The 12,618-nt window shown below is 40.9% G+C and overlaps 1 protein-coding gene across 78 annotated transcripts in view; it reads left to right on the forward strand.

The window, feature by feature from the left end:
• MEF2A (myocyte enhancer factor 2A) overlaps positions 1–12,618 on the forward strand; it is a 151,072-nt gene that overhangs the window by 133,807 nt on the left and 4,647 nt on the right. For 47 of the 78 annotated variants that reach the window (NM_001400049.1, NM_001400057.1, NM_001400064.1 and 44 more), the window contains 2 exons: positions 7,506–7,632; positions 11,411–11,537. In NM_001400049.1, the coding sequence (NP_001386978.1) occupies positions 7,506–7,632; positions 11,411–11,537 (254 nt within the window). Of the gene's footprint in view, positions 1–4,138; positions 4,163–7,505; positions 7,633–11,410; positions 11,538–12,618 lie in introns of all 78 variants that reach the window. The other 31 variants (XM_011521572.3, NM_001400036.1, XM_011521579.3 and 28 more) reach the window with 2 other exon arrangements.

Here is a 12,618-nt window from a genome sequence, read left to right on the forward strand (position 1 = left end):
ACTGTACATCCATATAAAGAAATGCTACTCAGCAATAAACTGTTTATTCACCCAGCAATACAGATGAATCCTAAGTGAATTTTGCTAAGTAAAAGAAGCAGTAGTGTATGATTCCATTTATATTTCATTCTGGAAAATGCAAAACTCACTGGCTGCCATGGGTTGGGAGTGGAGAGAGGAGTTGACTATAAAGGGTTAATAGGGAATTTTTGAGGTGATGGAACTAATCTGTGTGATGCTGTTTTGTTAGATGCATGGGTCTGTGTTTGTTGAAACTCATGAAACTGTACCTACAAAGAGTGACTTTTACTAAATGCAATTTAGTAAAAAAAGATTCCGGGGGAGCCCAAGATGGAATGCATATTGTCACACATGAATATAACTTTATTACAGATAAGTAACATGATATTGAAGGGGTGAGGAAGCAAGAACCTGGTCTAAGTAACTTTGGAAACTTTTGACTGGATACTGTAAGGTTAGAGACCAACGAAATTGTAGCAAATCACTGTGCTCTAGATGGTAAATTCATCCCTCACATACACAAACACAAAGGGTTGAACATATAAATAAATATAAAATGTAAATAAACAAATGGACATTGTAGATAAAGGCAGCCAGGTTTCTCATGGTTGGAGGAGAAAGTTGCAGATAACCCAGGGGGTTGGGGGTGGGGTCTAGAATGAGCCTGTGTTTCAGGGTTATAGTTGAAGGATTCAGTAAGAGTTTATATGTGTGTGTGTGTGTGTGTGTGTGTGTGTGTGTATATATATATATATAATTTTTGTATTTTTAGTGGAGACTAATTTTTGTATTTTTAGTAGAGACGGGGTTTCGCCATGTTGGCCAGGCTGGTCTCAAACTCCTGAGCTCAACATCTGCCCGCCTCAGCCTCCCGAAGTGCTGGGATTACAGGCATGAGCCACTGTGCCCAGCCAGACACATACGTATATATGTGTGTATATATACACACACACACACACACACACACACATATGTACGTATGTGTCTGGCTGGGCACAGTGGCTCGTGCCTGTAATCCCAGCACTTCGGGAGGCTGAGGCGGGCAGATGTTGAGCTCAGGAGTTTGAGACCAGCCTGGCCAACATGGCGAAACCCCGTCTCTACTAAAAATACAAAAATTAGTCGAGTGTGGTAGGATGCCCCCATAGTCCCAGCTACTTGGGAGGCTGAGGTGAGAGGATCGCTTGAGCCCAGGAAGTCGAGGCTGCAGTGGCCTATGATTGTACCACTGCACTCCAGCCTGGCTGACACAGCGAGACCCTGTCACACACACACAAAAAAGGTACAGTTGTGTGTACATATGAATTAGTATACATCATATATTTCCTAGCTCTGTTTGCTGAGAGGTCTGTGAGGCAATAGCATCCAGTAACTGAACATACCTGGTGCTCAGATTTTAGTTTCAGAACACCATTTTCTAATACAAGGACTCAGGGCTGCTTGGAAAAAAATGGTTTGTTGTAGAGCTGGGGCAGGGAAACGGGATGAGCCGGGGTTGTCAGAGGTTAAGAAAGTGCGTATCAAAAGTCACGGGAGCTGGCCTTTCAAAAGAGTTTCCAGTGGCCAAAACTAGAACAATTTGAGTAACAAAATAACAATAGTATTGGATTATAGCCCAGGGAATAAAAAACATTGAGTCCATTACTGATATAAATAAATGATAGAATAAATAAGGGGAAAAAGGGACAACTCTTCCTTAGAAAATAACTAATTAATAAATGTAGAAAGAATGAGAGAGAGTAAATCAGCATTAGAACACCACAGTACAATGGTAATTGTTGCAGGCAAAGTCAGTGGATAAATGCTAACATAAGTGGGCAAAAAGTTTAAGTAAAAAGCTATTTTGCTTTGTCTCAGAATGTCTCTTCCCCAATATTCATTTCTTACAAAGGGAAAAATTAGAGAATTAGAAATAAGAGAATCCTGGAAAACACTGCCTTAACCGGAGGATCAAGGTTAACATCACCAGTAATGGGACATAAAGACAACATGTGCCTTCCAATATGACATGCTAAGAAAGCCATGTCTCTTTGTGGTATTCTTGCAAAAATCCATGCCCTTCTATCTGATTATGAATGAAAATCAGACCCAAATTGAGAGACATTCTATAAGATAACTGATCAGCACTCTTTCAAAACAAGTTGTCAAGGTCATGCAAAACAAGTTGTCAAGGTCATGAAAAGGAAAGACTGAGGAACTGTCACAGAGCAGAGGAGACGAAGGAGATGTGAGAACTAAAGGCTTGTGGGATCCAGGATCTGATCCTGGGTCAGGAAAAAGGACATCAGTTGAAAGACTGGTGAAATCCAAGTAAAGTCCAAAGCTTTAATTGGTGCTGTATTATTTTTATTAGTTTCGACAACTGCATTGTATTTCCTTGTGATGTTAACAATGTGGAAAGCTGAGTGAGATGTGAGGGAGCTCTCTTTGTAAATGCTGTCTAAAATTATTTCAGAATAAATAGTTTAAAATATATACATACATACATAACAAAGAAATACACCCCAAAAGGGAGCCAAGAAAAAATGGCATTTAGGATGGTCCCATAGCTCACCTTTCAGGTACTGGATATGCAATACTTGCTACTGTCTTTCAGAAATAAACTCTACAAAATGTCATGTAGGGTACAGAAATGTTTACAAGAATTGTTAGTAAACTGCCAATTTAGAGACAAACTCCATTTAAGCATTTTAGCAATTGCTTAATAAAGTTATGTCTGATTGTTAGGAGAGCATGAAGGATCTCCATGGAAAACTCAAAATGTGTCGTATGAACTATTTACACGCTTATTCCTGTATATTAAAGTGAAAACCATATGTTTTACACATACACAGCTATAATGTTAGACAGTATATTTTGGTGTGTACCTTGTGTTTGGAGATATGTAAAGATATCTATAACAAAACAGTTGAATAGCATCTTGCCCACATTGGAGATAGCAGTTGTAGATCAAGTGATTGTTTTTCAGAGTAAGTAATCGGTCCCACCTACTTTACACACACCATTTACAGAGAAACCTTCTTCCAGATTAGGGCTTCATGTATCAGTGGCACTTACAATGACACTTTTCACAGACTGACAGAGAAGCTTAACTTACTCAAGTAAAACAAGTAAAAACTGATTAGACTGTTTCTAGCATGTTAATATTTTCTAAATGTTATGGAGAAAAGGAGCAAAAATGTTTCTTTTTTTTTTTTTTTTTGGACGGAGTCTCACTCTGTCACCCAGGCTGGAGTGCAGTGGCGTGATCTCAGCTCACTGTAACCTCTGCCGCCCGGGTTCAAGCAATTCTCCTGCCTCAGTCTCCTGAGTAGCTGGGATTATAGGCACCTGCCACCGCACCTGGCTAATTTTTGTAGTTTTAGTAGAGACAAGGTTTCACCATCTTGGCCAGGCTGGTCTTGAACTCCTGACGTGAGCCACCGTGCCCAGCCTTATTTCTTTTCTTTACATGACTTATGAATTCATTTCTCCTTCAGTCTCATTTTCTTCAAATATGTGGTTTTTCTCCATTGAAGTCATTTTATTCACATGAAAATATATTTGCAAATGATAAACATATATAAAACTGGTATTTAAAACTCATGTATTTATTAACAAATGTTTGTGTTCCTGTTGTTTTATAACTGCTAGCTCCTGCGGGAAATAAAACATACAGCAGTTTCTTTCTGCCAAGAAGCAGAATTCAGTAGGAGATAGATAACATGTATCACCAGGTGGGGTAATAGTAGGGTGATTAAGATACAGAGTTACAAGTACAGAGTTGATATTCTCACAGTTCCAAATACAGATCGATAGCATGATGAGGAACCCCTTTTAAATACTGTTGCAGTAGCATGACTATGTATAAGAGGCCAGCATGAGAGCAGACCAAGTTGGGGTAGGAGGGTGTCTTTGAATACTGGCCCTAGAGAATTTAAAATAATTTTTCTAGTCTTTTGAAAACTCAACAAGTAGAGACAAGTAATTTATATTTCTATCTGTTGTGTATATAATCGTCTCTTTAGAGTTCCAGACAGCTGCTAGTGTCCAAATATGTTTTTTCTAAAGAAATATTTTGTTTGTGAGTACCAACAGTCTTAGTAACTCTCTTATCCCTCTTATGTGCTGAGTACAGTCGGAGGAAGAGGAATTGGAGTTGGTGAGTGTGGGTTTCTGCTTGAAGGAAGTTGAAAAAGATGTAGAAAGTACTAATTCTCTTACGTGTTGTTATCTAACCAATGTTCCCTTTGTTACACAAATTTTTTTAAACACTATTCAAACACTTTGAATAAAGCAATCTACTGGTACTACAGACTCTAGTTTTTCTATTTATAATTGTATGTGTTGACCCATTTTATTTGTTGGAGGGAACATTGGAATAGAGCCTTTAAAAACAGTAGCTGTCCATGAGCATAGGATACTTGTTAATTTTTTTTTTAAGGAAAGATACAAAATACCTTATATAGCTCTCCAAATTATTGAAATATTTTTAGAAAATGACTTCACCCTCGAAGTTCCTCAGATTGTAACACACGATGTTGTGTTGTTTCTCTTTCAAAAAGATTACATCATTTTTGGTGAGGTCACCTTTTTCAGCGTTGGAATTATTTCATCCTGCATGATACAGCCTGAACCACAAGGGGGTTCCCTGTTTACTAAAAGGAATGTCTGTAATTGAATGTGTATATAAGTTTACTTTTCTATCAGAAGGCGCTCTTTTCTTAAAAGCAACTATTGCCCTTTTTCCAAAACAAACGTTTTCTGTTGGCTTTTCCTCTAGAAAATAAACTTGACTAAAAGCAGCTTGCAGTTGATCTATTTCTTCTTTAGGAACTAAAACCAAAACCTCACAGGAGTCATCATATAATTTCAAAGTCAGCTGCTAATTAAAGGACTTTAAGGGGAATAAAAACTTGAAAATGTTTCTTAGCATGGACAAAGGTTAAGAGTGCATGAAAGCATGGGGGAGGAAGGCATCCGTTGGTTTTAATATTCCATGTTTATGCATGCTGGTGTGTTTTGCACAGTTTGTTTTCTTTTCAAAGAAGGTTATCTGTTCCCCTTAAAATACGAGATTGTTCTTTATTTAGCTTTGTGATCACTCACAGTTTTGGGTGTAGTTTTGTATTGGCCAACTGAAATATTCTAGTCAGCTGTAAATGTTTTGAATTATATTATGAATATCTTTTGGAGAAACACTTTACTTAATGATACCATAATGATCAGTAAATGAGAGTTTATAATTCAAGCTAAAATAATTCACCTTAGGTTAGACCTCACTGTTCAAGGAGTTGTGAATGCGTCCATGAATTATCTAGCACTATACTGCCCTCTTGTGGTTCTGAAAATCACTCACTCTTGTAGAACTCAGTGCCGTTGAGATGAGGAGCTTAGATGAGTGGAACTAGTGTTTGAAGTCTTCACTGCTTTTGAAGACATGCCAGGAGATTGCATGAAGATGATGCCATGGAGTAGGTAGGGTCCAGGCCAAACTATGTCATACTGTATTCTTTCACCTAGTGATTGGACTTATGAAGTTCCAGACTAAATATTAAAGAAGAAATTAAGTCCAAAGTAGATCTCTATCTCGAAAAGTCATTAAATTTATAAACTTGATGCTGAGACTAAAATATATTCCGAACTGGCATACATTGATTTTCCACATTCCTCAGAGTACATCTGTAATTACAGAACCTCAGAGATAAATATATTAGGTCCTTGAAGACTTTAAAATACATACCTAAAAACTTATAAACAGCCATTTATATTATTTAAAACTTAATCAATTAAAAATGCAGAACTTTATGTGCCAGAACCAAAATATAATCAGAAGCACAGTCCGTTACAACTTAGAAAGTTGTTCAGCTTGCCTTGAGCTCTAAAGTATAATTGTGGATGACTCTGATCCGAAGTGCAGAAGGACAGGTGCCCTGGGGCCTGCACTAAAGACTGTACTGTTAAGACCAGCGACAGATTCCTTTAGAAGCCGAGCAATACTAGAACAACTTGACTTCATGAAAGCTGCAGTAGACTAGGCTATGGATTAGAAGGAATAAAAATATGTATCTTTTTTCCCACCAGTTATATAGAAATTTGGGACAGAGGGTTTCTTAGGACAATAAGGATATTATCTTATATTTGTGTAGTACTTCAGTTATGAAAGCACTTCTGACATAGTAACCTCATTTGATTCTCACAGTAGCTGTGCAAGGCAGCCAGGACAAAGATTGCTATATCTTCTTTATTTGACAATGAAGAAGTTCAGAGAGGTCAAATTATTTTCCCAATGCCTAGGAAATGGTGAATCTGGGACAGAAACTCAGGCAATACATCCACATCCACATGATCTTTCTCACATCTTCTAACCTAGGTTAGAAAGTAGAAATTAAAAAGAAATAAACTGAGATCAGGATCCTCATCGAATGTTTGTAAGTGTCTACATCTAGCCAAAGGCCTTTTTGTCTGATGTACCCTTTTGAAAATTGTGATAGAGAAAATGGAATCACATTCTAACTCTTCATAATCTCAAAGGCACTGAATTATACTTTACTGATTTGGCTCAGACCCCCGAATGTCAGTTATCAGGCTGTAACATAATTTATAAAAAACAAATAGAGTTGTGCTGTGGCTTTCTTATGTGCTAGTGACACAGAGTCTGTTGTGTTCCTCTGATCTTTGATTTTCAAAAACCGTTACCTTAAGCCAGTTTGGCGAGAAACTGCTTCTGTCGTACTCCTACACGTTAAGGACAATGACTGTCTTAGACTAACTGGATTATTTAATAGTTGAATTTTTTTTATCCATTCCCAGCATGGATAGGATGCTACACAGATGCATCCAGTTGGCAAAAAGCATTTAATATTGCTCTTCCACTGCCCTGTCGGCAGTACTTGATTCAAAATTCTCTACTCAAAGCCTCTGCTACAGAAGGCCAGGGGACTATGAAGGGATACATGTCCGAATCTGTTGTTAAAAAATAGGTCAACTGCATGATTGGAGAGAAAGAAATAAGAATACAAGCTGCACCCAATAAGCCATGACTTCAAACCGTGTTAACACGTAAATAATACCGCAAAGAAAAGTAGTTTTGATTCCTATACTCATAGACGTACAATCCCTATATATACAGATGACCTTTGCCATCATCAGGTATTTAAAACCTACACATACTTCATTTAGGGGAGTCTGACAGTATTTGTAGTGGCATCAAGTCCTCATTTTGTGCAACAAATAGAAGTGCTAATGCCTGTAACAGAAGTTCCTATTTTAACGTGGGGTGTCTGACACTAATCAACTATTTTAAAAGAATTAATGTAAAAATAGGACCCTTCAAATTAAATATTTAGTTATTCTCACTAGTATTTTTGAAGTTTTCACATCATCAGTGCTTCAGAAAATGACATTCATATGAAACTGTGAAAAATGTCACTTAAATTGAAAGTGATTTTTAAGTCAACATAAATACCACATCAGAACACATTTTCTCTTTTTTGATCTCACAGAATACCCAGAGGATCAGTAGTTCTCAAGCCACTCAACCTCTTGCTACCCCAGTCGTGTCTGTGACAACCCCAAGCTTGCCTCCGCAAGGACTTGTGTACTCAGCAATGCCGACTGCCTACAACACTGGTGAGCCTGCTCTGGTGCCTTCCGTAGGTTTTACCGCTCTCTGTTTTGTGATCAACGTGTGCTTCTGTGATTTTTTTTAAGTATATTTATTGAAATAAACTATTTCCAGTTTTTTAGATTTAAATTAGGATGTATTTTTCAATGTGCTAGCCTTGAAAAAATTACAAACAAAATGGATAGTGTGGATAGTGCGATGAGTAAGTTATTCCGGCTTCTCCAGTGTGAACTTTCACTTAACCCCTGACACAAAGCCACGTGGATGATAGCAAAATGGTGACATGCATCAAGCCAAGAGGGGAGCAGCCTGTTGCTTGAGTATTGCTGATGTAGTTTCTCTTCATACAGTATCACGCTTTTCCAGGCTTTTAAAATAAGATGTTTGTCTTTATGCTGTGTTAACCTGCTTTGGGAAAGACATGAATCCCTTTGGACCTGAGACTTCAGGAGGTGGCCGACGTTTGGCTGTGTCGAACAGGCTGTTTTCCTCCCTGTAACCACTAGCTTGGTCCATGTCATGTGCACCTGAGGGGCAAAACAAGGGCTGTTCTGATTTCTCCTCGGAGCCAGTCACTCTGCCTTTGAGGGGAGCTTTTCCTTCATTTATGTTTATTTAGGCATTTCATCTTAAAATGCCCTAATTTGGGGTTGTATTAGGAAAGTTTAAGAATATTACAGTGATCGTAGGAGTGCTTTTAGCCAAGCAGACTGTATGGAGAATCGAGGGCAGCTGGTTTCATTTAAATTTACCAATCTAAGAAGGAGTGGAAAACACATGTGGTTTCGCTTTCTCATCAGCTGAGCCAAACACCTGATGCTTCAGAGGAAGACGGCAGTAGTTCAATTCTCCCTTGCCCATTACTCAGAGACTGCAATGCAGAGAAGTTATTATGATTCTCCTGAGTGTCATAAGTAGACTGTGGTAAAGATGGTCTGATTTTAGCCTTCAGGGTAAATGCTTTGGCACAGAACTTTGAAACTGCTGTCCGCAGCTACGTGAGGGGACAGAGCGTTGATAACATTTGATTGCCACTTGAATTCTAAGAAGTTCTTTTAAAACAGAATCAACAATAAAAGGTTTTATTGAAAAAAAAAAAGTCTCTTAGGAAATATCCATTACTTTTCCAACCGTTAGTATGAAAAATAATGCCCAAATTTGTCAACTGCATACTATCTTAGGGATTGTGAATCATAGCCTGTTATTAGTGCCTTGCACAGAACAAGGTTCCAGAGTAAAGCCAGGGATGAAGCATTCATAGAAATTCTGTTTCGACGCATTGATCACCTGCTCTGTGAGAGACTGTACTAGGGACATAGCTTTCTCCAAGTTTATTCCAAGTGAGGAGGCAGGACATACCTAAGTGGGTAACCGTGGAGGGGAAGTCCTGAATTGTTGTGATTGTGAATTTATACTCTGAGAATTGAGAAGGGAGGGCAAAGCTATACTGTTCAAAGGTGTATTGGCTGAGAAGAGGGAGCTTGAACTGGGTGTCAGATTATGGTTTACTGACCGTTTCATTACAGGTTTTTCAGTATACTTAGAAATTCCACTATACTTATTTTTAGAAATGCCATTGAATTGGGAATTTATTTTTTAAAAGTATAAAAGAAATTACCAAAGCATATAAAAATGGAGGCAGGCTCTCAAAATCATCAGTCGCTTAGCGTCAGTCTCATGCCACCTTTTGACCGACTTTATCTTTCTTCTCTTTCTCGTAACACTTACTCTGTTTGAAGTTTACCATGTTGTTTTTAACTTATTTCCACATCTATTCAGCAAATATTTATCAGGCAGCTGCTGTGTGGCAGGCACTGTGCCAGGCACTGGAAATGCAGGAGTGCAGTCAGCAGTGAAGCCTGGGGGGAAGGCACAAGACACACAGCTCTAGGGATAAGCTGCTGCAGTTGTGTCAAGGGCTGTGTCTCAGCTCGGACAGGAAGGAACATGCGTGACTCAGCCAGGCAGAGGAGGCAGAGTGCTCTTGGGAGAGGGTGTGCCTGTACAAAGGCTAGGAGTTTGCGGGCGGGACGGGGCTGAAGGAATGGGGACAGAGCGTGGGTGGTTAGAATTGAGACTAGAGAGGTAAGTAATGATTTGTAGACTATGTCAAGGATTTTGGAAACTGTCCGGAGAGCATTGGGGAGCCATAAAAAACTTTTGAAGTAGAGGAGTGCCATGACCATATTTGTTATTTTAAAAAGATGTCTTTGCTGTATATAGGGTTAAAAGGCAATGCCAGGAAGCCACATCAGAGGCTACTGTAGTGGTCCAAGCAATGGGTGCTGATAGCATAGACTAGAGAGGTGGCAGTAGAGATGGTGAGACCTGGGCAGGCTTGAGAGAGAGCAGATAGAATTGCTCAGACCTGGAAATTGATGTTGGGAGTGAGAGGGAAGGGAAGTAGCAAGGATAACACCCATGGGCTTCTGCACGAGCTGCTGGGTGCATGTTGGTGCCATGTACTAAGAGTACTTAAGGAGGAACAGGTTTGCAGGAAAGGATGGGCCATGTCAGATGTGTGGCGTTTGGAGTGGCGTCCAAATGGACATGGCACTAGGTCGTTTAAAAGATCTAGAGGTCGAAGGAGACTGTGGGCCGGAGGGAGCACTGGGGAAGGCGTCAGTGTGACGGGTCCTTGCCCCAGCCCATGGGAGTGTATAGAATGACAAGGGCAGAGTCAGGACAGCCCTGAGCACCAGCTGTGTCGCTTCAACTCCGTTCCTTTTTTAAAATGTTAATTCACTAGGAAGACCAATTTCTTTAAACACCTCTCTTGAGACATGAGAAAGAAGATAAAAGTAGAAGAGTTTTGCCACCTCTCTTTGGAACCAAGTGAGAAAGACAAGTGTTAATGATGAGCTGAAATAACTCCCCGTGTGAGTGATAACTAACGTCCTAAATCTTGGTCCCAGTGATTACGACTGAAGCATTCATATGATATGAGCTGGGTATACTCTAGGACACCGAGTTTTTTCATGAAGTTGAAACTCTTGCATGCTGTCAGGGAGTTTGCGACAGTCTAGGTACTTTAAACAAATGCGCTTACTAATTGTGTAATGATGTCACTGAGCTTGGCACCCCATGTAGGGATTCTGTCTTTCCTGTCCCCTATTCCCTGTCCCCCAACCCCTTGCTTCATTAAGACTTGCTGATTCAAACTCACTCTGGTTGAGGTTGAGTGTTTCTCTTTGTTCCAAAGGGTAGTGGCAGGCATATTTAAAGTAACAATTGTACAGAACACTCTTTAATGATGGCCTCTTATTTGAATCATCCCAGACAAAGAAATATTGCTAGATCCTGTAAATCTTCCAAGAAAAGATTTTGCGGATTTTAGACCCACATGTATGTTGTTTTGTTGTGAAGTATCTGGCTTCTCTCAATGTAGGAACTTTTTATTTTATTTTTTTTTGAGAGGAAGTCTGTTGCCCAGGCTGGATGGAGTGCAGTGGTGCTACCTCGGCTCACTGCAGCCTCTGCCTCCCGGGTTCAAGCAGTTCTCCTGCCTCAGCCTCCCAAGTAGCTGGGACTACAGGCATGCGCCACCACGCCTGGATAATTTTTGTATTTTTAGCAGATACGGGGTTTCACCATGTTGTCCAGGCTGGTCTCAAACTCCTGACCTCAAGTGATCCGCCCATCTTGGCCTCCCAAAGTGCTGGGATTACTGGCATGAGCCAGCATGGCTGGCCTCAATGTAGGAACTTTTGCAGTAGCTACGTAAAAAATAGATTCCGTATGGACCTTCCATCATATGCAGAGCCCTCTTGTCTTCCTTTGTAGATTATTCACTGACCAGCGCTGACCTGTCAGCCCTTCAAGGCTTCAACTCGCCAGGAATGCTGTCGCTGGGACAGGTGTCGGCCTGGCAGCAGCACCACCTAGGACAAGCAGCCCTCAGCTCTCTTGTGTGAGTAACTAGAAGTTTTCCCTGCATCTTTACTCCTGGCCTACACACTCTCTTTTCCTATCAGTGACAGCCTTTTGCTCTGTTGAGTTTCGTGTGAGGAATCCTGTAATGATTCCTTTTCAGGTAGATACAAGTGTCGGGAGAAAATATTTTCTTACATGGCTCTAGACAGTAGCTTGGATACTGACAAACTAGGCATTCCTTGAAGGGATTTGGGGAGCAAGGCTTCTCCCATAGGGACATCCTGAGGTAGAGAGACTCAACCAGGATCTGAAGGGGTCTGAAGGCACAGATACCACCCGCATGCACCATCCTTCTGCCCTCTGACCAGTGATGAAGCTGCCTACTGCACCCCTGCTCCCAAGCACCTGCCTCTGGCTGCACTGCTTGAAAGGCAGCCTGTAGGCATTCAGGCCTCCCTGCCACCCTTGCCATTGACTGCTTTGGTGAGTATCTGTAGACAAGAATAGGAAGACAAGCTGGAGCTTTTGCTTTCTCCCTGGGCCACAGGGAAGGAAAACTGGGGACAGGGTGTCTTATATATCAGTCAGGCTCCATAGGATTTGTGTGACTGATCCCAGCCCAATGCACACACCAAACCTCATTCACAAAGAGAATGTTCCGTATGGGCAGGGTGTAAGGATATAAGCAAAGAGGATTTACAGTGGCGCCCAGATGAGGCCAGACATCCCTGACAGCCGGGAGAAAGAACAGGGCTTTTGTGGAACCAGGATGACAGCAGACCCATGGAGCAGTTGGAGGAGAGTGTCCCAAGAGAGGGGACAACATAGCAGACCCAGCTGGCCTCCATGAAGACTGGCTGCCTTGCCTGTGCTCTGGGCAGTAGGAATACCCCAGGCCCCTAGCCTCTGCCCAGGAAGTCCCCAGAGAGCCTGAGCTCAGCAGTCCCTTTCCCTCATCCATTCTGAAGTAACTGCACAGTGAGGATTGTTGTCAGTGGTCTTCTTAGGAATTATGTCATGGAAAAAGCAGCAGAGTATCTCAGGGAAATTTGCCTACACAGGATTTGGCCCTCAGGCCTGTCCTGAGCATCCTAAATGAATGCACTAAAAATAGTCCT

Source organism: Homo sapiens, chromosome 15 (genome assembly GCF_000001405.40).
Source record: "Homo sapiens chromosome 15, GRCh38.p14 Primary Assembly".
NCBI classification, from domain to species: domain Eukaryota; kingdom Metazoa; phylum Chordata; class Mammalia; order Primates; family Hominidae; genus Homo; species Homo sapiens.